The sequence below is a fragment of the Homo sapiens genome, chromosome 6 (genome assembly GCF_000001405.40).
Source record: "Homo sapiens chromosome 6, GRCh38.p14 Primary Assembly".
Taxonomy (NCBI): Eukaryota; Metazoa; Chordata; class Mammalia; order Primates; family Hominidae; genus Homo; species Homo sapiens.
The window spans coordinates 36,056,971-36,082,536 of NC_000006.12; the positions used below are offsets into that span (position 1 = coordinate 36,056,971).

At 38.2% G+C, this 25,566-nt stretch overlaps 1 protein-coding gene across 18 annotated transcripts in view; it reads left to right on the forward strand.

Moving 5' to 3' along the window:
- Window positions 1–25,566, forward strand: part of MAPK14 (mitogen-activated protein kinase 14) — a 96,407-nt gene that overhangs the window by 29,163 nt on the left and 41,678 nt on the right. For 16 of the 18 annotated variants that reach the window (XR_007059210.1, XR_926065.3, XM_017010299.3 and 13 more), the window contains exons 3-8: window positions 2,319–2,377; window positions 15,903–16,014; window positions 16,721–16,750; window positions 17,079–17,126; window positions 18,878–18,992; window positions 19,567–19,638. Coding sequence is in view for 14 of the 18 variants with exons in the window: in XM_017010299.3 (XP_016865788.1) it covers window positions 2,319–2,377; window positions 15,903–16,014; window positions 16,721–16,750; window positions 17,079–17,126; window positions 18,878–18,992; window positions 19,567–19,638 (436 nt within the window). In the remaining 4 variants the exon portion in view is untranslated. Of the gene's footprint in view, window positions 1–2,318; window positions 2,378–15,902; window positions 16,015–16,720; window positions 16,751–17,078; window positions 17,127–18,877; window positions 18,993–19,566; window positions 19,639–20,864; window positions 20,895–25,566 lie in introns of all 18 variants that reach the window. The other 2 variants (XR_007059209.1, XR_007059211.1) reach the window with 1 other exon arrangement.

Genomic DNA, 25,566 nt, shown 5'->3' on the forward strand with positions numbered 1-25,566 from the left:
GATTTGACTTAAATTTAAAGCACTATTGTGAATGAGGTCACAGGTACTCTATTGGGAGGCATGTAAGTTGGCCTTACCTCTATGGAGGACCATTTGACAATATTAAGATCCTTAAATATATTGGTGTCCTTTGATTCTGTAATTCTGTTTCTTGAAATTTATTTCCTGGAAGAAAATATGAGATGTGCAAAATACATATATTTTTCTTGCAGTATTCCTTAAATGTCTAGAGATAGGAAATTGGTTAAGTTATGGTATACACAAATGATAGATATGCTGTATACAAATATTTAAATATTAAGTAAAAAGGCAGGATATAAAACTATGCATGGTGTAACCCCAATTTAATTTATGTACATCAGAAAATCAAAGGAAATATATCTCAAAATGTTAATGATAGTTATAATGGGTGGTATAATTATGGGTAATTTTGGTTTTCTTATGTACTGTTGTCTGGGTAAGATCTGAAAGTGATTCTATTTCCTTTGGAACAATTTTCAAGGACTTGAAACCTATTCTTGAATTCCAAGTATGTGTCCCACCACCTCCTTTTCAGGTTCAGACTGTAAAATTAAAGTTGCTTTTAAAAAGTGACATTTGGAGTCGGGCGTGGTGGTGCATGCCTGTTATCCCAGCTACTCGGGAGGCTGAGGCAGGAGAATCACTTATACCCAGGAGGCAGAGGTTGCAGTGAGCTGAGATTGTGCCATGCACTCCAGCCTGGGCAACAGGAGCGAAACTCTGTCTCAAAGAAAAAAAAAAAAGTCTGATATTTGGATGAGTGGAGTAACATCCTAATTAGAAGATCTTTTTCATGATAATGTTTTGAGTGTTAACATATCTTACTTCTAGAGCTTTGTGTTTAAGTTGGCAGTTTAGAACAGTGTGCTAGTGAGGCCACAGTCTTGCTTCATAACCAGATACTCTCAAATATGGCTGGGCGTATTACAAATGAATTATATATTTCTTATTTGCCTTGTCAATGCCTAACTTTGTAGAAATGAATGGCCTGGGTTTTAAGGAAAATAGATGGGAGGTAGGGGTTGGAGGGTGCTGTATGTGGATAAATCAGTATAAATTCCTGATCAGAAAAACTGCTCAAAGACCATGGGTTATTGAGTATTAAGTAGCTCTTTGCTTTATCCCTGTGTAAAAATAGACTTTTTTTTTCATTTTTAAATTGTCTGATTTAAATACCCTATACATTAAGACTTTGTGAGAATAATACCAAGAATATACTGAGAATATTTTGAGACTTTAAAAATGTCAGTTTTGAAGCATATACAGTTAATATGGAAATTTTTCGTGGAATACATTTTTAAAAAACACAATATTACGGTAACAACCATGGATGTGTGACCTTTTTCACCTGTTGGATTAATTCATTAGACCATTAGTACATACGTAAGGCAAGGACCCTAAATCTTTTTGCCTTCTGATAAACTACTGACTACATATGAATAAATTCTAAAGAGATGAAGATTTTTAATGGTAAAGTGGGTTAATATGAGAATTGATGTTAACAAGTAGAAAACAAAAGCATAATTTGGGTAGAAAATTAGTTGGAGTTATTAAGTATATGATGTGATGTTATGGAACTGAGGTAGCTGGTTTTGAATTAGTTCCTATTAAAATGATTGAGACGTGGCTGGCCGTGGTGGCTCACTGCTGTAATGCCAGCACTTTGGGATGCTGAAGTGGGAGGATCGCTTGAGGCCAGAAGGTCAAGACCAGCCTGGGCAATCTAGTGAGACACATCTGTACAAAAAAAGAAAAATTAGCTAGGCATGGTGGTGGCACGTGCTTATAGTCCCAGCTACTTGGGAGGCTGAGACAGGATTGCTTGAGCTGCAGTGAACTGTGATGGTGTCACTGTACTCTAGCTTGTGTGTCAAGAGTGAGATCCTGACTCTTTTTTTTTTTTTTTTGAGACAGAGTCTCACTCTGCACCTGCACTCTCCCAGGCTGGAGTGCAGTGGCGCAATCTCGGGTCACTGCAACCTCCGCTTCCCAGGTTCAATCAGTTCTCCTGCCTCAGCCTCCCGAGTAGCTGGGATTACAGGCGCCCGCCACCACACCTGGCTAATGTTTGTATTTTTAGTAGAGACAGGGTTTTACCATGTTGGCCAGGCTGGTCTCGAACTCCTGACTTCAGGTGATCCGCCCGCCTCGGCCTCCCAAAGTGTTGGGATTACAGGCGTGAGCCACTGCTCCCGGCCTAGACCCTGACTCTTTAAAAAAAAAGAAGATTAAGACCTGATGGGTACTATACTGAGTTTAATATTTATTTACTTTTTAATTTTTATATTTTCTTACAGGTGATTGGTCTGTTGGACGTTTTTACACCTGCAAGGTCTCTGGAGGAATTCAATGATGTGTGAGTAAATTTTTTGCATTTGCCTTCCTGGTCTACAGAATGAAGACTAATAGCCCATTTCTATTCCTGAACCATTTAGCAACATATAGACTTCAAAAAATTCTTTATTCCTATCATGCACCTCTTTTTGGGTGTAGGGATGGATACCAGAAGATGTATGTTATGGGTGGTGCGTGTTAGTATTTACATCATTTCAGGCACATTGTACCCCATTGAAGAGTCAGTCTTGAATTCTTACAAAAGTTCCATGGAGAAAGGAGTGGAGAGAGTTTTGACTATGGATTTTCTTTTCAAAGTGTTTATCCCAGGTTTGGTTTTGTTGTTGTTGTTGTTGTTGTTGTTTTTGTTTTAAAAGACACGGGGTCTTGTGATATTGCCCAGGCTGGACTCAAGCTCCTGGGCTGTAGTGATCCTCCCACCTCAGCCTCCTGAGGAGCTGGAACTACAGGCACATGCTACCATGCCTGGCCGATCCCAACTTTTAAAGGTGCTCTTCAAGAAATGTAACGGATCCCCAGCCATATAGACTCCCTCCTCTTTTATCGCCCATGCATGTGGGAGATGATACTAGAACTACATGCTGATCCTTGAAGTATTAGATTTCTATACTGGGATAAGGGGCAGACTCTACCTGTTGAGAAAGGCTTCTTCTCTCAGCTTTGTAACCACCTCTGTTGTTTTAGCCTGGGATACCCCTAGAAAGCAGAGCCTGGGATTCTCAGGAACCAGTAGTGGGGGGCTAGGGAAAATGAAACAGGAAAGGAGAGAAAGCTTCTATGAGTATATGTTGAGTTGGTCACCACTATGGACAATTGGGCTGAAAACTGCCAAGATCTAAGAAGCTGTACGTAATGCACCTCAGATGGGGATCATTAATACACTGGCTCCTGACCCCATTGGCAAGGGTTGCCACGTATGTCATTAGTGCCTTCACATGCCCAGGTTGCACATTGGTGGGCCATAAGACAGATTCCAGCAAGTGTTCCCATGTATGTGTGAACTCTCTACTATAGTAGCTTTTCTAGTATCTGAGTTGACACAGCTCTCCCTGCCCCCAGTTCACATATACACTATACCATGAAAGAGAAAAAAACCTTAAACACAGTTATACTTTTGGTCACATTGAAATTTTGGCATTCCTAAATGGAGAGTGTTACTATTATGAAAGCCAAAACAGAACTGAAGATCGTGACTTCTCTTCCTTAACCTCCATTCCCCCATTGACCCCAGGGCTGAACCTAACCAGTTTCTCCTCACCCTTATCCTGGTTTCAGTTTCTCCCATTCTTATCCTGGGCTGATTGCAAACACCGTTTACTCCTTCCCCACAGAACACAAAGGGGATATGTTTGAACTTCTATGTTCTGTCTAAGGAAAGGGAGAAAGAAATAAAGAAGATGAAATGGAAAGGGAAGGAGGAAAGGTGGCAAAAACATTTCTCCACCATTTGAATTTAGTTGGAACAGTGTATGGCTGAGAGTAGAAGAGTAGAAGTTAAGAGAGGAGAATTTGGTCCACCTACAAGATCTCCTTGGCTACATTAACCTTGATCCTGCTAATGAAAGTTTAAGAAACAAAGGAAAAAAATAGCCAATAACTAAGAAAAATTGTTCTTCTCGCAGCCCTGCTTGATACAACAATATGGAGGCTTCCAGAGATTACTGGATGTTACTCAGGGGCATGTATATTACAGTTTGTTGAGCCCTACTGTATGCTATAGTTGGAAAAGGGAATGTTACAGAATGATGGTTTTTAAAAATAGTTTTCCTAAATGTAGAAGAAATGCTGAAGTAATGTGTTTGTGAATTACTTTGGAAAACATTTGAGTTAGATCTGAGCTGTATCCCAAAATTTTAGGTATACTAAGGATGGATTTATATAACAAAGGAAATGATTTGCTGACTTGTGCAAAGTGCAAAATGCTGTATTTTGGCCTAATTGGGCATTCTGGAACCGGATTAAGAACCTATTTTTCCTATGTGAAAAGACCTTAATTAAGGCCAGTGTCTATTTAGAAGGTTAAGTGTTACTGATAGTGGTGCCTTTGTTTGGCTCCTTCATCCATGTAAGGACCCAGCAACTACAAATCTACCTTTGAACTAAGGTTTCATTCATTCATTCAACCATTCATTCATTCATTTATTCAATAAATACTATGGCTGTTGAGCAGGAATCCGTTCTTTCTATTTAACTCTAGCTGGATACTGTTTTTTATAAACAATAACTGAGTTTACCTCTTGGAAGCAAATCTCATTACTACTTGTTGACTACTTACTGAATGCAGAACACTGAGCAGAGTGTTAGCACAGGCTCAGAATAATCAGAAACAGTCGCCCTTCCTTTTGATGAAAGTGTCTGGTTGGGGGAAACGAATTCAAAGCACTTTTGTATCCAAGCTACCAATTGGCCATATGACCTTGGACAAGTCACTTTACCACTGTAGGCCCAGTCATTTCACTGTAAAATGATGAGAATTGAGGTCGTTGACTTCTGAAGTGTTTTAAATTACAGAAAGTCTCTGAAAATAGAATGAACTTGTTTGCCCTAAGAAAAATATTCCATTGTTTACTTTTTATTGTGATGTTCATATCACTGAAAAAATCACTGTAGTTCGACTATAGTTATTTCAGTGTTTTCTTTTTTTTTGAGACAGCGTCTTGCCCTGTTGTCACCCAGGTTGGAGTGCAGTGGCAAGATCTTGGCTCACTGCCACCTCTGCCTCCCAGCTCATGCAATCCTCCCACCTCAGTCCCCCAAGTAGCTGGGACTGCAGGAATGGGCCACCATGTCCAGCTAATTTTTGTATTTTTGGTAGAGACAGGGTTTTGCCATGTTGCCTAGGCTGGTCTCGAACTCCTGAGCTCAGGTGGTCGCCCTCCTAGGCCACTCAAAGTGCTGGGATTACAGACATGAGCCGCCACACCCAGCCATTTCAGTATTTTCTAAAGTTATTTTGGGATATGCATAAGAAACTAAACATCTTCACCTACACTTGCAGGGTTTGCAAATTTAAATACCTTCAGGGTCACACAAAGAACATAAATGAGGTTCAGTGTTACACAATTGGGAGTGGTGGGGTCTGTGGCAAAATACATCTGCACCTCCTAAAAGTATTCAAATTCACATTGAAACAAAACAAGTAAACAAACGAAAACCTACACTTCTGGCCAAACCAGACATAATTTAGGCTAGAGTGGTTCTACAAGCTGCCTGTTTAGAGCAGGCTATAATTTGAACACAAATTTTTAAATGCTAATTAGCAAAATCTCTATAATTACTTTCAGATTTATAGTTTTTTTTTTTTCTTTTTCTTTTCTTTTTTTTTTTTTGAGGTGGAGTCTCGCTCTGTCACCCAGGCTGGAGTGCAGTGGCACGATCTTAGCTCACTGCAACCTCCGCCTCCCAGGTTCAAGCGATTCTCCTACCTCAGCCTCACAAGTAGCTGGGATTACAGGCGCACATCACCATGCCTGGTTAATTTTTGTATTTTTAGTAGAGGTGGGATTTCACTGTTTTGGCCAGACTGGTCATGAACGCTTGACCTCAAGTGATCCACCCACCTCAGCCTCCCAAAGTGCTAGGATTGTAGGTGTGAGCCACCGCGCCTGGCCTACAGTTGGCTTTTAATCATGTGATACGTGTATTTGTCCCTTTATGTTTCGGTTAGCACTTTTAATTTATATACAGTCATGCATCAGTTAATGACTGGGATGTGTTCTGAGAAATATGTCATTAGGTGATTTTGTCATTGTGCAGACATCATAGAGTATACTTCCACAAACCTAGATGGTATAATCTACACACCTAATCTATATGGTGTATCTTGTTGCTCCCATACTACAAACCTGCATGGCATGTTACTGTACTGGATGCTGTAGGTAACTGTAACGTGATGCTATGTGTTTGTGTATCTAAACATAACTAAACATAGAAAACAACAGTAAAAATATGGTACTGTAGGCCAGGCTTAGTGGCTTACTCCTATAATCCCAGCACTTTGGGAGGCCGAGGTGGGCAGATCACTTGAGCCCAAGAGCTGGAGACCAGCCTGAGCAACATAGGGAAACCCCTTCTCTACAAAAAAATTTAAAAAATTAGCCGAGCATAGTGGTGCATGCCTGTAGTCCCAGCTACTGGGGAGTCTAAGGTGAGAGGATCATTTGAGCCCAGGGGCAGCGGTTATATTGAACCATGATTGCGCCACTGCATTCCAGCCCAGGTGACAGAGTGATATATGTGGTCCACTGTTGACTGAAACATTGTTATGTGGTACATGACTACTTCAGATTTTTGCTATGTTTTAAATTTTAATTCTTACAAATGAAGACTATACCTTTGAGAAAGGAACAATAGGTAGTGCATTTTGAACATTAGGAACAATATACAGTTACTGAATCTGGATGGAGATGATTTTTGGAAAATGTAGTGTTAAAAGATGGATATACTAAGTTGCTCTTGACCACCATAGGATGTGGTTGTACAGATGGCAAAATTTTGTAAAGATACAGTACATCTAGATCTCTTAAATGACTGGAAATCCTTTGGGCCTTTCTGTTGGCTTCTTGATAGTAATGTTTGGCAAGATACTGCATGCATATATATTCCTGTGTATTCAGCAGATATTACCAGTAGAAATGCAAAAATCTTAAATAGCCAATATTTGAACCTAACACCAGAGCAAGCTGTAATTCAGTATTACTATAATATTGCCTTTTCTTTGTGTGTGTGTGTGTGTGTGTGTGTGTGTTTGTTTTCTTTTTGTAGTTGGGGCTACAGGCTCACACCACTAGACTCAGCTGTTTTTATTTTTTTGTAAAGACAAGGCCTTGCTATGTTGCCTTGGTTGGTCTTGAACTCCTGGACTCAAGCAATCCCCCAACCTTGGCCTCCCAAAATGCTGGGATTACAGATATGAGCCACCATGCCCCCCCCCACCCCTTTTTCTTAACTGTAGTGGTTCTTTGCGCAAGCATAGTAGACAAGAATTTTTTGATTCCTCCTGGGAACTATTTCCTCAAATTTCATGGAAACTGAATTGTCATGAGTTAAGTGGAAATTAGTCTTCTGATACTTTTTCCTTTATTTTACAAGTTCCCATCCCAGGTTTCTTATACTGAATTCCTTATCTCTGCCTCATTCTTGAAGAGGGAAATGGAAGTGGGGTTTTGGATTCTACCATGATAGAAGGGAAGACCTACAACAAGGCTATTCAGCAGCCTTTGTTTTAGTGAAAGCCAATGAGAAGAGATCACTTCTTCCACTTACTAACAATGATTGCTCAACTAATAAGTTTAGCTTTTTTATTTCAATGTAAAAGTTGCTGAAAACACTGAATTGGTAAAGGAAATTTCTGGATTTACATTTTAACCTGATGTTGTTCAATAAATATTTGAATATCTACCTTATGCTAGGCACAGTAATAGTCTCTGAGGAATATAACAGTAAATAAGAGCTGAGGCTGTTAATGGGAGAGAAGAACAATGTAAATGATCAAACAAAATACCATGTGGTAAGACCTGAAAGGTCCTACATGAGTTGGTCTCCGGTGTACTCTCTAATCTAACCTCACCTAGTCCTCTTTCCACTCTGTCTCCACCCCAGTCACTCTGGCCTCTTGTTCTTTGAGTACAGACAACCACATTTGCAATAAGACCTTTGCACCAGTTTCTGTTATTGCCCTGGAACTTTTTCCCCACATACCTACATGACTGTCTCCTTTCCTTCAGGACTCTACCCAAGGGTCTTCTCATCAGAAGCTCTTCTTTTGTTACCATTCTAACTGAAATAGTACCCCTACTGTCACTGTTTACTCCTTACCCTGCTTTGTTCTTAGCAAATTTTGTTATTGTCTGTCTTCTCCCTTTCTTTGTAAGCTGTGTTCAAGCACGGAGTTTGTTTTCTTCGTTGCTGAATCATTATTGGAGTATATGCACTCCATTGTTTGTTAAACAGGTGAACACAAGAATTGCCATTATAGGGCAGGTATAGAGTGCTAAAGGACTGCATAGTATGGCCACCTAACCCAGACATGGGGTGTCTTCAGGAAAGCCTCTGCAAAAAAAATGTATACACAGAGGGCTTAACGGATGAAGGAGAGTTGGAAAGGTGGGGAAAGTACAAGTTCATCCAGGGGCCGAGAGAGGGAGCTGAGGGCAGAAAAGGTGTGTGTGTGTGTGTGTGTGTGTGTGTGTGTGTGTGTGTTTGGTGGGAATAGAGGTGTATATGGCAAAAGATGAAGCTGGAATGGGGAGGGACTAGATCTTTGGGGCTTTATAAGCTAAGCCTCATTAAGGTGGTTGCTTTAGAGAAGAGATCAAAGGGTACTGGGAACTGGAAATGGGATTGGAAAAAGGATGAAAGGTTTTACTTTTATGTGGGATGACATAGTTACAACTCTCTCCCCCTTCCTCCCCACACAAACACATTCCATAGTGTGTGATAAAAAGATATCATTTTACCAGAGGCAGTTTTCTCCTGGATCCTTAACACATTAGGAAATATTTTGGATGAGCATACTAGTTGAAAATCTGAAATGGATATAAGACTTTTCTGGGAACTTAAATTTATGTAATGATGCTTCTCATTGTTAATATCTGACTTTAATTTCTTTTGGTTTGACTTCTTGCCAACATTACAACTATGTCCTTTCTTCAAAAAACAGGGTCTTATGCTTATGAGTGAAACTGACAAAACATGTGGGTGAGCAGTTCTATAAAAACTCTTTTTTTTTCAGTAACATCTTGGAGGGTACAAAGGGCTTTCACATAATCTTATTTGACACAACAATCCTGTGAAACAGATGGTATTATCTCTAATTTTCAGATGAGGGAACTGAGGTTGAGAGAGATGAACCTAATTGTATAATATCACATACAAAATTGCATCTCTCCCTGGTCTTTTGGCTCTAAACCTATTTCTCATCACATTTTTCTGATCTAAGGCTATGATTATTATTTGAAAGTCTGCTACCCCTTCTTATTGAGTAAATATTGTGTTAAGTTCTATGTAAGATGCCAAAACTAAGGGCCTGTCTCGTTTTCCAATTGCTATGGTCTTATTAAAGAAATGAGGCATTTCTTATTAAGAAATGCTTACCTAAAATAACTGAAGGGCTGAGTCAAATCTGTAATGTCTAGACAACTTACAGGGTGCTGCATGAAACTCAGAATATTAGAGAAGCTTAGTGGAGAAAAGCCTCTAAAGAAGGTAATAACTGTGTCCGAAGAAACAAATAGGGATAGGATGTGGAAGTTGAAATTTATTCCAGACAGAGAATGAAGGAAATATGTAAAGTGTACAGAAAAGAGATTTGTATGGAATGGAGAGTGTTAAATGAGAATAACTATTGATACTTCTTTTGTACTTGGATAAAAATTGTGCATTGATGAATTCTGGGTGTGTGTGTGTGTGTGTATGTGTGTATGTGTGTATGTGTAGGGTTATTCCTGATTTAGCTAATAAATGTGATCTTTTTGGAAATAATGGTGAAAGAAATACCTAGCCGAGTTGCTTGGACTTACAGGTTATTTCCTAATTTAGCTAATAAACATGGTAGTTTTGGAAATAATGCTGAAAGAAATACTAGCCTAGTTGCTTGAAACTAGGCTAAGTGCTCAAGATAGTGAACACAGGAAGAGAAGTGGTCTAGGAAAAAGATTAATGAGTTAACTATTAACATTTATGTTTACAATTTTTTTTTTATCAGAGAGGTCTGCTGAAATGGAGATGGTGGGTGGCGAAACTCCTTGTAGATGTTTTTACAAACTCACATTTGAAATCTAAATAAGTTACATATCTCTTAAGAAAATATCATTCAGTTTTTGCCTGACATGATCAATAAGATGCCACCTTTTTCTCAGATTAGCTAGTTTTAAAAGGTAAAGAAGCTTCAAGGCCTAGCTTAGAGTTTGAGTCCTTCAGCAATCTCTCTCTAATTCACTTCTTCCTAAGTCTGTGCTGGGACCCTCTCCTGTGTGTTCTCCATCACCGTATGTCCCTTTATTATGATTATATATTCATATATGCCTTCCTTTCATCTAAAGGCTGTATCTGTCTTTCCCACTGCTGCATCCCCAGGGCCCAGAAATACGTATTTGTTGATGGAGTGATAGAATGAGTGAATAACTTTGTGCTGTCACTGTTTATAACTGGTTGATGATTTGGTTGTCTGAAAGCATGCTCAGTGCTCTCTCCTTTGACTAGCTTTTTTGTTTTCATCCTGTAATGTAGACTGTGTGGTAAAATATTGAGTCTAGTTTCACTGATGCAGGTAATGTAGAGGGCATCTTTTAGTAATCTTTGCTTCAAGTGAGAATAATTTGTTGTGAAATAAGCCTACTAAGCTGCCTACTTGGCTGCTGAATGATTCTTTTACCCCTAAATTAGAACAGTCTGGTCTGCTTACCAGTAAGATCTTTGGCACATGTATTTCAATAAAATGAGCCCTTGTCTTATCTTACTAGTAGTGCTGTGTGAGTTGTCCTGAGTCATTCAGTGGTAATTGAGTGCCTACTATCTATCAGACACTGTTCTCGGTACTTTAGATACTACAGGGAACAAAAAATAACCCTGTCCTCCACGAACATTGTACAAGCAGATAACAATAAACAACAGTGAGCATATAAAAAAGGAAATTACATAGTCTGTTAGCAGACAATAATGCTATAACTAAAAAGAAAAGGTAGAAAGGTAGAACAGGAAAGGGGAATTAGGAGTACAAGGGTGGGGGGAAGATGAAATTTTAAATGGATAGGCCTTATTGAGATGAATTTTGAGCAAAAGTGTGAAGAAGTAGAGGAATTAGACCTGGGGATATCTAGAGGAAGAGCATTCCAGGCAGAAGAGGAAGTCAGTGCAAAGGTCCTGAGGCAGACTGCATGATATATTGGAACTGGAGCAAGGAGGCCAGTGTGGAGCTGAGTAAGAGCAAGGGACAGAGACATAGACTATGAAATCAGAGACATAATTAGGGGCAGTGTACTGGATTAGGTAGGGCTTTATCTGCCATTGAAAGGAATTTTGTGTTTTACTCTTAGTAAAATAGGGAGCCTTTTGAGGAAAGGAGTGCCCTGATCTGAGTTTTATTTCTAAAGAAACACTCTTCCCCTGTGTTGAGAATAGACTGTAGTAAGTCCCAAGGATCAATAGGTGAGTTGCAGAAGCTTGTGCTTACAAATTGTCAATCCCTGTGATTGTTTTAAGCACCCTGTTTAAATATGGAATAAATGGGTTTTTTTGTTTTGTTTTGTTTTTTGCCTTTTGATAATTGCTTTGAATAGGACTGATAGTAGTAAGAGACGCCAGTCTATAGATATCGAAGAGTTTTTTCTACATAGGTTCTTTCTGATTGTTCTGTGCTTTAAAAAGTGGGAGGTGGGGAGGAAGAGGGCGGGGGCAGTGGTGCTGGTCTTAACAATTGGGTATTATCCAAGAAGTATAAATGAAGCTGTAAAATGGGGTGCTGTCTAGAGTACTGAAAAGCATTTATGACAGAGTTCTTCCTTCTTGCTGTCACAGTACATTTTACTCACAGGAGTCACATTGAGAAATGTGATTTGTGCTCTCTATACTTTGATTAAATTTAAAGAAGACCAACTTCACAAGAAAAGTGAAAAACAAGATTTGTATCAGTCCATGAAATTGTTTTCAGCTTTTAGCCTAATAAAGTCCAACTTAACTTAATTCCTTTGTAAAGATGTGAGAACTAGATAGCTTTCCAACCATACTCAAGTCTAACCTTCCTTAATTTACTTTAATTTACTTTACTTAATTTACTTTAGGTGTTATATACATTGACAATATTAGGCATGTCTTTACTAAAATGTAATTGACTATGCTTTCCAGAAACAAATACTATAGAAATTATGTGACTCTCCATTAATGCCTCTTTTGGAATGTGCTTCTTAAAATGTGCTCATTTATATTCCTTGCCCCCCATCCTGTTCATTATTTTTAGAAGTTGGTGCATCTTCCATAAACAATCAGCAACTTTGCATGATGCTTGCTTTTGTCCCCTGTTGTAAGACTTATTTTGAAAATCTTTCTATATGGGAGTTAGAATGTAACAATTGGTGGTCATGGATTGGTCTTTGGGCCTCCTGGAAACAAGTATAGTGATTAAGTTAGTTCCTGCAAGATGCTTCTGCCATAAATAATGCCTTTCAGTTTATTTCATTGTAGCTTAGTAGTAATGCTTGATAGTTATTACTATATAGACTGATTAATCTTATAAACTTACATAATGTTTTGGCAGTCTCACCCTCGTTCTAAATTTTGGTGATAAAATGGATGTGGTCTCTGAGGGGGAAAGGATTTGAGAGAAATTACATAGTGGTAAACTGTTCTAATTAAAAGCTCTTTCCCTCTCTCTCTCTCTCTCTCTGTTGCCATGCAGTCAGTGGTCCTCTGGCTGCCTAAGATTTCTTAACTCACTGGTAACCATTTACACATAATAGCTGTACTTGAAGTTGCTATGGTTTCATTAGTAGTTTTGCCTAACCTTTGTGAACTGGCTCAGGCCTATTAGTTAGGACTAGTATTATTTTTATTTAAAAATAAGTTATGTTTGTCTCTTCTCCATAAAATTATTTAGAAAAGTTCAAAGAATAACCCTCTTATTATCCAATGTCAAAAAATATAATTATGTGCAAAGTAGTCTTATATGACCGAAATTAGATTCTGTCTTCCTCAGCTTATGCATCAATTTAGGGTTAAAAAATACAGTAACTGTGATTAGGACAGAATACTGCTATGTTCTTGCCAGCCTGAGAACTTTGTTAAGATTAACTTTGATAGTAAATACAGTATTGAGAATTACTAAGGAAATTATTCAGACATATTGCTTCCCTAGTTATTGTGACGTTTAAAGAGTTTTAAAAAGGTCATTCCCTTGATGTAAATTTTGTATCAGCTGAAAGAATTGTTGGAAGAATATGTGCTGTGATTAAGATCATGGTCTGTGGGGTCAGTTAGTTTTAGATCCAACTCCTGACATTACTACTCTTTTTGACCTTGAGTAGATGGCTTATCCTTATTCTGTCTCTATTTCCTTGTCAATGAAATGGGAACGCTAATGGACATTATCTCACAGAGTTATTGGGAAGAGTACATGAGACATAATGAGTACATGGACATAATAAACTGCTTGCTGCAGTGCTGGACACAGAATAAGTGCTAGTTAGTGCCTTTGGTTATGTTGTGTTGAGATTGGAACATTTCTTAAAACGTTTCAGTCTCATTTACTTATTAATTACATTTAGAGTCTACTCTTTCCTCAAGGCCGTATAAACATGCAAGTTTTAAAAATATGAAATGCTAACATCTTAAGGTTGCAACTAGGTTAAGTCCTGTTGATCTTCATGAAATTGAGAACTGACCATGGCAGCCCTACCAGGAAATTATGACAGAGAAAAAAATTCCATTCCTCTTGGAGGACAGAAAGTAATAAATATAGTGTATTAGTTGTGTGTGTAGGTATATAAAGAGAGGTCACACACACACACGTTTATTCTTATAATATATTAATAATAGATCTAAATTACTGACCTGCTTTCTTCCCTCCAAAATTCATAAAAAAATGAAAATAGAAATGAAATCAGCATTCTTTATAGCTCAGCTGATATATATTATTACCCAATCTCAGGAATAGGAATGATTCTTAGACAGTAAATAAAACTTACACTTATTTTTAAAAATTCAGCCTCTTAGCCAGGCACGGTAGCTCACTCCTGTAATCCCAGCACTTTGGGAGGCCATGGTGGGTGGATCACTTGAGATCAGGAGTTCGAGACCAGCCTGGCCAACATGATGAAACCCCGCCTCTACTAAAAATACAAAAATTAGCCAGGCATGGTGGCGAGTACCTGTAATCCCAGCTACTCGGGAGGCTGAGGCACGAGAATCGCTTAATCCCAGGAGGTGGAGGTTGCAGTGAGCCGAGCTTGTGCCACTGCACTCCAGCCTGGGCGACAGAGCAAGGCTCTGTCTCAAGAAAAAAAAAAAAAATCAGCCTTTTTAGAACCGATCTACTTTCTATGTTTCCATAGCTGTGTAATACAGTAATGAGTGGGTTAAGGCATTGTGTCTAGAATATGTGTGGTGAACCTGTTGGACTTGAATGTAATCATTCCCTAATCTTACCACATAAAGATGGGATTAATAACCAGCACCACACCTGTGAGGAGAAATTCTGGAATGCCTCATCTTGCCTCCAGATAAAACATGTTCCTCCTTCCTTTAAGGTAAATGCAGGAATATTGTCAATGAACAAAATCCTTTCACTAGTCATTCCTGAAAAAGAATTACAGTTGGAAAATAAAAAAAATACTCCTATTTTAGAACCTGTAATGTGGAAGACTTATAATGAGGTGAAAATGTAGCGGTGGATTTAAAACTACAAGATACTTAATTATAGCCATGCAGTAAGTTATACTATATATTTGTCATGCAAGAATAACATTTGTAAGAAAACTGATACTGACACATGTATCTTTCTAATCCCTACCTTTGCTGTTTTTGTTTTCTTTTCTCTTTTATTTTTTGTAGAGATGGGGTTTCCCTGTGTTACCCAGGCTGATCTCACACTCCTGCCTCAGCCTCCCAAAGTGCTAAGATTATAGGTGTGAGCCACAAAGCTTGGCCTGGTTTCTTTTTTCTTGAGATAACCTGGAAAAAGATATGTCAAGTAGGAATAAGTATGTAAATGTTTAGAACAGATGGCAGGTAGTTAAAGTTAGAATAGTAATGTTGGGAGGCTAAATTGGGAGGATCACCTGAGACCAAGAGTTAGAGCCCAGCCTGAGCAACATAGTGAGACCCCATCTCTACAGGAAAATTTAAAAAAATTAGCTGTGCGTGGTGGTGCACACCTTTAGTCCTAGCTACTCGGAAGGCTGAGGTAGGAGGATCACTTGAGCCCAGGAGTTTGAGGTTGCAGTGAATTACTATGATTGCTCCACTGCATGACAGAGCATGACCCTGTCTCTAAAAAAAAGAAAAGTAAAAGAATAGCGATGTTGAAAATGAGGTAATGAGGTGCCCTTCCCCCCAAAAAATGAGTAGTTGTTAGCTTTTAGCTGTCATCGTGGTACAGCTACCATTTTAAGGGAAGGGTAGCCTTCCCTTAAAAACTTAGAAGTCGGGCCAGGTGCGGTGGCTCACGCTTGTAATCCCAGCACTTTGGGAGGCTGAGGCGGGGGGATCATGAGGTCAGGAGATCAAGACCATCTTGGCCAACACGGTGAAACCTCGTCTCCACTAAAAATACAAAGATTAGCCGGGCATGGTGGTGGGCACCTGGAGTCCCAGCAACTCGGGAGGCTGAGGCAGGAGAATGGCGTGAACCTGGGAGGCAGAGGTTGTAGTGAGCTGAGATTGCGCCACTGCACTCCAGCCTGGCAGTAGAGCGAGACTCCATTTCAAAAACAAAAACAAAAACCAAAAAAACCAAAAAACTTATAAAAGTCTTCTGAAGATAAGAACTTTCTTAGGGGTTCTAGATTGTTATGTAACTTTTCACTAATTTCTAGGTATCTGGTGACCCATCTCATGGGGGCAGATCTGAACAACATTGTGAAATGTCAGAAGCTTACAGATGACCATGTTCAGTTCCTTATCTACCAAATTCTCCGAGGTCTAAAGGTACAGATAATACAAGTAATAATTTTTTAAAATGAATTCTCCCTTTCTCCCCTCCTTTTAGGGCTTAAACAAACAAGTAAACAACTTTTCTAATGGAAAATTCAAACACATAAAATCACAGGTAAAGGTCATATAGTACAGTAAACTGCCATGTTCACTCAGTGACAACAGTTACCGACATATGGCCAATCATGTTTCTTTTGTATTTCCCAAGCCCTGGATTATTTTAAAGCAAGTCTAGACATTATATAATACCATCCATAGATACTTCAGTTTGCATATCTGAAAGATAAGGACTCTTCATTCTTACATCTAAACAATAATTTATTGATGTAATCTAATATCTGGTCAGCGTAATGTTGAGATTTTCAAAAAATCCTCAAGAAAGACTAATTTATTTGTTGGAGGGGCAGATAAACAGTGTTTTAAAATTAAACCCATCTTTGATATTTAGCTGCTTTGAGTCCTTATTGAGCTCCAGAGTGCCAACCAGAAAATAGATTAAAAGCTCAACTGAGTGGAGTCAATGGCTGTGGAAATTATAGTAATGGTAAATGTACACAATACTGATAGTTACTTATGCTGATTTCTAATCTTACTATTAACACTAGCAGTTCTTACTGATTCATGAAAATGTGCAGCAAATATGTTATATAATATGACAATAGAAGGTTGGAGGTAACTTTGACTTTTTTCTCTTTTGCAGTATATACATTCAGCTGACATAATTCACAGGGTATGTATTGTGACTTTGATTACATTATTTTGGGGAAGTGGGGTGAGAGTGGAAGAATGGCATTTAGCCAAGATCCTAATCTAAACTTTAGCCATTGAAATGTTGATTGATTGCAACTTTACTGTAGGTTTAAGCTGATTAAAGAAAGAAGATGTGTAGTTTTTTTCTATGTAAGGCTAACTTGGACTGGATATTGACTGTAGGATGGAGATTGTCTTTTGATAGCTGGATGAAGTCTTTTATGTCTGGATCCTCATTATTACCTGTAGGGGGAGAATTGATCATGCATCATAAAGTTGATCCTGTCTTCCCTGTATTTGCTTCCTAGGACCTAAAACCTAGTAATCTAGCTGTGAATGAAGACTGTGAGCTGAAGGTAAAATGAAGAGACAGTATTCATTGTTTGCTTTACTTTGAGATTATATGTTTGACTAAGCAGGCAGACTTTCTTAGGGAGTAGCTTTGTGAGCCATGACTATCTGAAATTCGTATTATTTTTATTATCAGACTTTGAAATTTAAACCATTTCTGAGTAAGCTAAGTGACATTGAAAGTGGCATCACTTGTTTTTATTTTAACATAAAGTTAAATTATAAATTTGATATATTAGTCATAATAAAGGAGGATAATAGTCAAATATCAAGTAAGTAGGCCCAAAGAGGTGATAACTAGATTAAATACATTTCTAAGAGGAGAAATGGCAGAAACCCACTCACTCAAAATAATTCAAATAAAAAATAAGTGAATTAATTGTTTCTAAATAGCAAGCAGCTCTAGAACTTTTGTTCCATTTCATTTTTTTAACTTGAAAAAATGTCTGTACATTAGAATGCACCATTTCATTTGGCAAAATTATATATCCACTTAACTCACATTTATGATAAAGACCATTTCTTTTTTTTTCCTTTTTTTTGGGATGCAGTCTCACTCTGTTGCCCAGTCTAGAGTGCAGTGGTGTGATCTTGGCTCACTGCAACCTCTGCCTCCCGGGTTCAAGCGATTCTCCTGCCTCAGCCTCCCGAGTAGCTGGGACTACAGGTGCACGCCATCACACCCGGCTAATTTTTGTATTTTTAGTAGAGATGGGATTTCACCATGTTGGCTAGGATGGTGTCGATCTCCTGACCTCGTGATCCACCTGCCTCGGCCTCTCAAAGTGCTGGGATTGCAGGTGTGAGCCATTGCTCCCAGCCAAGAACATTTGGATTACTTTAAAAAGTTTATGGCCAGGCGTGGTGGCTCATGCCTGTAATCCCAGCACTTTGGGAGGCCAAGGCGGGTGGATTATGAGGTCAGGAGATAGAGACCATCTTGGCCAACACGGTGAAACCTCATCTCCACTAAAAATACAAAAATTTAGTTGGGCATGGTGGCGGGCACCTGGAGTCCCAGCTACTTGAGAGGCTGAGGCAGGAGAATGGCGTGAACCTGGGAGGCAGAGCTTGCAGTGCGCCGAGATAGTGCCACTGCACCCCAGCCTGGGCAACAGAGCAAGACTCCGTCTCAAAAAAAAAAAAAAAAAAAAAAAAGTTTATTGTGTCCCTTCCTAGTCAATCCCTACCCCTCCACCCCTAACTCTGGCTCCAGGCAACTATGGATCTGCTTCTAACACTATAGATTAGGTTTATCTTTTCTGGAGTTTCATGTAAATGGAATCATATAGTGTGTATTTTTGTGTGTCTGGCCTTTGCTTGGTGTAATGATTCGGTATTGTTGTGTGTGTCAGTGGTTTCTTCCTTTTTATTGGTAATAGTATTTTGTTTTATGAACATAACAGAATTTTTAAATCTATCCACCTGCTGATGGACATTTGCTTGAGTTTGAGGCTGTGTAAAGCAACTGTGAATGTTTATGTGCAAACCTTTGTATGGACGTAAGTTCTCATTGCACTTGATTAAATACCTGGGAGTGACATTTTTGTTTTGCTTTTTGTAATTTCATTTTAAGTTCTTGCTGTATATTTACCATACATTCTAAGTATGGACCAGGAAATCTCTTTATGAAAGTGCTATTTTGTTCTCCTTTTTAATAAGGCAACAGAGGTTTGTTTGTTGTTGTTGTTTTGTTTTTTTTTCCCTGCCTGTTTCTAAGTCTTAGCAGTTTGTCTGTTCCTCTTCTGCCCTTTAGATTCTGGATTTTGGACTGGCTCGGCACACAGATGATGAAATGACAGGCTACGTGGCCACTAGGTGGTACAGGGCTCCTGAGATCATGCTGAACTGGATGCATTACAACCAGACAGGTATTACTCGCCTTGGTTATTTAGGGCCTTATTTAATTCCATGTTGGATGCATTTGGGATTCTCAGAAATAGAGATGGTGGGAGTGGGAAGAAATGTCTTTTCTTCCCTCAGTGATCCTTTTAAAGCCTGCAAGTAAAAATATTTCACTTCCTCAGATGGGGAAGTGGGGTTTTATACACAGCTTTTAAACCTTGTGATTTAGCAATTGGGTTTTTATTTATTTAGATTTTGAATATATTCTCTGAGTACTTATACCTAAAGACAATTAGTCCATAATTTTAACCCCTCAATGTTACTTGGAAGAATCTACCATTCTACTAATAAGAAACTTGCCCCTTTTTAAACAGCTTATTTCTCTTAAGTGTGTTTTGACTTACCCCACCTTTGAACAGCCCTTTAGTCAGGTGAAGATCTTAGTAAGCTATTTATTTCTGTAAAAATGAGTATGATTGTTGAGCCTCAGATGTCTTAAATAGTAATTTGAATATTTCACCCCTAGTTACGGTTTCATTTGTTGCCAAGAATTGTAACAGTGACATTGCATATACTTTTACTTCTTTTTAATTTTGCCAGTTGATATTTGGTCAGTGGGATGCATAATGGCCGAGCTGTTGACTGGAAGAACATTGTTTCCTGGTACAGACCGTATCCTTTAAAAAGTTTTGGATTCTTGTTTCTTATCTGTATTCCAGTGTCCATGGGTGTATACTCCTTTTACTTATCTCTAGGGAAGACTCTCAGTATTTTGCTTTTATAGTCTAGATAATGCATTATGAGGTCTTTCTTCAAACTGAGTAGCTTGCCTTGCCAAGAAAGAGGCTTCAGTTTACTTTTGTGAGTTGGAAAAATTCCTCATAAGTTGAAAAACCCATCAAGTCTGTCTTCTTTTTGCAACAGTCCCTTATTAATCATCCCACAGCAGTTCTGAGACCTGAGCATACTCATGAGAAACTCCAGATCCCAGTGACAGTTTTAGTCTTCTTGTATAAACACTTAATGAGCACAAGATGCCCATTTATAAATGAAGGGCATCTTGCTGTTATGTTTATGTATTAAAAGGGCTATGTTTGGTACCTGCAGTGATATACTGCTTACTTGTTATGTTTGTTGTTTGACAACAAATAGTAAAAGCAAGAAGTGAAAAGCTTACCATGTAATGTACTTTTGTTTTTCCAGCACAACTTTTTCCCAGATTGCAGCCAAACCCTAATTTACTCCAAGACTTACTGTCTAGTTTATGGTTTATTATAGCCCCTTTATTTTAGCTCCTTTCCTATCTGCGGTATGCTTGTTTCATGGTTTAGTATTAATGTCATGAAAAATGTGGTCTGTTGGAACTCTCATCAGTTCTACTTATGGAAGATGTTTAGGTGAGAAAGATTGTTAAAATATATGTCTAGAATTAGTTTTGGGGATTTTTTCTTTTTTTAATAGAATTGAGTTAACTAGCCTTCAGGTGGTTTTGGTTAGGCAATATTAGACATGCTACCTCTGATCTATTATGCCTAGAGATCTAAAAGCCATTTTAGTCCCTTACCTAAATAAACTAATTGAGTTTATAAACCAGAATGTCAATTCACTTGCTTACAGTTTGGGATATACTTCTGTAATGGCTATGATGTTCATGATATCTACCCACGTGTTCTAACTATCTTCTGCTAGAGAGAATGTACTTTCATTATGAACTGAAAAAACCTCTATTTCTCAGGTAAAGCTGTTTCTTTCTCTCTGAATATTAGGATTGATAACAGAGTTCAGTCTCCCTGTATTTAGCTTACCTTATTACTCCCTACCTCTGGATTTTAAATTAGTTTAATACCTGGTGTTTCTCCTTTGTCCTTTGTTTCATTCACCTTATATCTGTTTCTCAGAAATTTGGTATATATATATTACAGTCCAAGGTAAGAGAATTAGGGAAAATTCATACTTCCCCCTTTCCTCAGGTACATATCTCAGAGTCCCATCCTTGCTTTGTCCTCTAGAGTAGCTGCTGTCCTGATGCTATTCTCTGTTCCCTGCTCCCCTTCCTCTTCTTGTGTCTGTATCTCCAGCTACCATTTAGTCAGTCACAGACCTCCATGCCGGTGTAGACACACAAGGTGGCAGAGAGGGAAAGGCAGTATAACATACAGGTTAAGCACATGCTCTGGAGCCAGATTTCCTGGATTTAGATCTTAGCTCTTTTATTTCCAGCTATGTAACTTTGAGTAAGTTTCCTAACCTCTATTTCTCTCAGTTTCCTTAACCGTAAAATGATAATAATCATACATACTCACAAGGTTGTCGTAAGAATTCAGCCAGAAAATAACTGGAAAGTACTGAGACGAGCCTGCCAGTAAATGTTAGCCATCATGTTCAGTAATGGCCTTGCAAAACAGATTACCCCTTCACCTTCTCACTTAATTGTCTACCTATGAATCATTAATGTTTTGTTTTGTTTTTAATTCTGTGATAGGTAGGAAAGGATGGAACTCCTTGGCAGACTAGTGTTAGAAAGTTTTCGAAGCAGTGTGAGTCTTGTACCTTTGTGGTCCTGTCTCACAGACACCTGTCTATTCCCTGACCCTTTTAAATGCTAACTTTCTGCCTGTAGGAAATCTTCCCTTTGTGCTTAGGTCTTTTTCTTCTGTGAGCTTTAGATAAACAACCTAGTGTTTAAACTTTTTAATAAGGGATTCATTTTTTAATACATGAGAATTCATTTCAAAATTTTGGTTTTAGTTATTTATTTTATTCTACTTGGCTCTTTTTCAGACAGATGTTCTCTCCTGGATTGTAAAAGTCGAATTCAAAGGATTTTTATTTGTAATATACTTAACCTTTCTCTTGTAAGTTGCCATCTGTGTAGATACAGCTTTGATTGCCTGACAAGAGGAAAATGTTTCCCATTATCTTTTCCTGCCTGAACTATACGGTCACTTGTGTTCCAGCATAGTGGTTCTTAACCCTCATAGTGTGTCAGAATCACTTTGCAGAGCTTTTAAAAACTCTAGATGCCTGGGGACCACCCCAAAGACTCCATTTTGTTGTCATGGGTCAAAGCACAGTCTTCTAGTTTGCAGCTAGTGTTGAGTACAACTAGAGTTTAACCCAGTTGAATTTTAGTTTAATCTTGGCTGGTCTTGAAGATGTTAGTAATCTCTATTCATTTTTTTTGAAAAGTACCAATGAGATCAGAAAGTTAATTAGAAAACATCTAGTTGAATCCCCTGTTTTTAATAGATGGGGAAACCAAGACCCAGAGAATATAATCCAAAGCTACCTGTCACATAGGCCACAATTTCTTTTCCAATATTCTGTTCTTCGCTGTTCTTCTAATTTGCAGAACTCCTCTTTAAAAAACCTTTGGAGAATGTATTGGCCTCATACCCTCTTCCTTCAGCCTGAAAGACATGCACCTGTCACTTATTTATGATATTTAAATGCAACCTCTAGAACAGGGGTGTCCAATCTTCTGGCTTCCCTGGGCCACATTGGAAGAAGAAATGTCCTGGGCCACACATAAAATACACTAATGATAGCCGATGAACTTAAAAAAAATTGCAAAAAAAAAATCTCGTAATGTTTTCAGAAAGTTTACAAATTTGTGATGGGCTGCATCCAAAGCCCTGGGCCACGTGCAGCCCGCAGGCCCTGGGTTGGAAAAGCTTGCTCTAGAAGGTACTCATTGTTTGAGTGTCCAGTTTTCTCCCTGTTTTCCTTATTTATTGATCATTTTGCATTTGGAATTGGTGGTTTGGGCTTGTAAGTAAGAACTGTGTACTAGAACTTTTGTGGTATTGCAAATGTTTTATATCTGTGCTATCCAATGTGGTGGTTATAGGCACCAGCTGCCTGTGGCTAATTATTAAGCAACTGAAATGCAGCTAGTGGTGAGCAGTAACGTTGTGGAGAAGAAAAAAAAGAAATGTAGCTAGTTTAACTTGGAAATTGAATTGAAAATATTTTTGTGGTTAAATGTATTTAACATAAAATTTACCATTTTAACCTTTTTTTTTTTGAGACAGTCTTGCTTTGTTGCCCACGCTGGAGTGCAGTGGCATGATCTTGGCTCACTACAACCTCCGCCTCCCGGGCTCAAGCGATTCTCCTGCCTCAGCCTCCCAAGTAGCTGGGATTATAGGTGTGTACCACCATGTAATTTTTGTATTTTTAGTAGAGACAGGGTTTCACCATGTTAGCCAGGCTGGTCTCAAACTCCTGGCCTCAAGTGATCCGCCCACCTTAGCCTCCCAAATTGCTAGATTACAGGCGCGAGCCACTGCACCCGGCCCCATTTTAACCATTTTAAGTTTACAATTCAGCGGCATTAATTACATTCATGATGTACAATCACTACTACTACCTATTTCCAGAATTTTTTCATCACCGCAGATGGAAACACTCAGCCCGTGAAACAGTAACTTCCCATTCTCCCCTCTGGTAACCTCTGTTCTTTCTGTCTCTGTGGATTTGCTTATTCTAGAAATTTCATAGAAGTAGAATCATATTATACTGTATTTGTCCTTTTGTTTCTGGATTATTTCACTTAGTATAATGTTTTCATGGTTCTTCCATGATGTAGCATGTATCAGAATACTATTCCATTGTAAGTATTTAATATATCCCACATTTTGTTGACCTGTTCATCTGTTAGTAGACAGTTGAGTTGTTTTTACCTTTGGCTATTGTGAATAATGCTGCAGTGAACATTGTCATACAAGCATCTGTTTGAGTCCCTGCTTTTGATTCTTTTGGTTATGTACCTAGGAGTGGAATTGTTGCATCATATGGTAACTCTATGTTTAACTTTCTGAAGAGCCACCAAACTCTTTTCCATAGTGTCTGCACCATTTTACATGCCCACCAGCAATGCATGAGGATTCCTGTATCTCCAAACTTGTTCTTTTTTTTTTTTTAATAGTCACCCAAGTAGTTACAAAGTGGTATCTCACTGTGGTTTTGATTTGCATTTCTCTCATGACTAATGATTTTGAGCATCTTTTCATCTGCTTATTGGCCATTTGTATGTCTTCTTTGGAGAAATGTCTATTCAAGTCTTGCCTATTCTTAATTAGGTTGTTTGTGTTTTTGTTGTTCAGTGGTGGTTCTTTATATATCTTAGACCCTTATCAGATACATGATTTGCAAGTATTTTCACCTATTTTGTGGGTTGTCTTTTCACTTTCTTGATAATGTCCTTTGATACATAAAACATTTTTAATTTTGATTAAGTTCCAATTTATTTTTTTTCTGTCCTTGCTCATGCTTTTTTGATGTCATATTTTAGACTGTATTGCCAAATTCAAGGTCATGAATAATTTACCCCTATGTTTTCTACTAAGAGTTTTGTAACTACTAGGAATATAATAGGGTTTAGCTCTTATACTTAGGTCTTTGATCCATTTTGAATTAATTTTTATAGATGATGTGAGGTAGGGGCCCAACTTCATTCTTTTGCATCTGGAAGTCCAGTTATTCTAGCACCATAAAGAGACTATTACTTCCCCCATCGAATCAACATGATACCCTAGGATTTCTCCTTTGTTTTTTGTTTCTTTCACCTTTTACCTGTTTCTTAGAAATTTGGTATATATAATTAGCAATACACGTGTGGGTTTAATTCTGGACTCTCAGTTCTATTCTATTGGTTTATATATCTATCCTTATGGCAATACCACACTGTTTTGATCACTGTAGCTTTATAGTAAGCTTTGAAATCAGGAAGTGTGAGTCTTCCAGCTTTGTTCTTCTTTTTCAAGATTGCTTTGACTATTCTGGGTCCCTTGTAATTTCATATGAATTTAACAATTGGCATTTCTATTTCTGCAAAAAAAAGGCTTTAGAATTTTGATAGGGATTGTGTCAGATTTTTAGATCACTTTAAGTGATATTGACATCTTAACCACTATTAAGTCATCCTGTTCATGAACAAAGGATCTCTTTCCATTTATTTAAGTCTTTATTTTTTTTTCAGCAGTGTTTTATAGTTTTCAGTTGTAAAGTATTTTACCTTGGTTAAATTTTTTCCTATGTATTTTATTATTTTTGCTGCGATTATAGATGGAAATTCTTTGGTGTGTTCATTGTTGATATATAGAAACCAAATTAATTTTTGATTGTTGATCTTACACCCTGCAAATTTGCTCAATTTATTTATTAGCTCTAGCAGCTTTCTTCTAGATTCTTTGTGATTTTCTATGTATAGGGTTATGTCATCTGCAAACAGAGATAGTTTTATTTCTTCCTTTCCAATTTAGATGCTTTTAATTCTTTCTCTTGTCTAATGTAATGGCTCTGTCTAGAACTTCTGCTACAATGCTGAATAGCAACAGTGAAAGTAGGCATCCTTGTCTTGTTCCTGTCTTAGGGGGAAAGCTTTCAGTCTCTTCCCATTGAGTATGATGTTAGCTGTTGGTTTTTCATAAATGCCCTTTATCATGTTGGGGAAGTTCTCTTCTTTGGTAGTCCATTTCACATTGCTATGAAGGAATACCTGAAACTAGGTAATTTATCAAGAAAAGAGGTTTATTTGGCTCACAGTTGCATAGCTGTAAAAGAAGCATTGTGCCAGCATCTGTTTCTGGTCAGGAC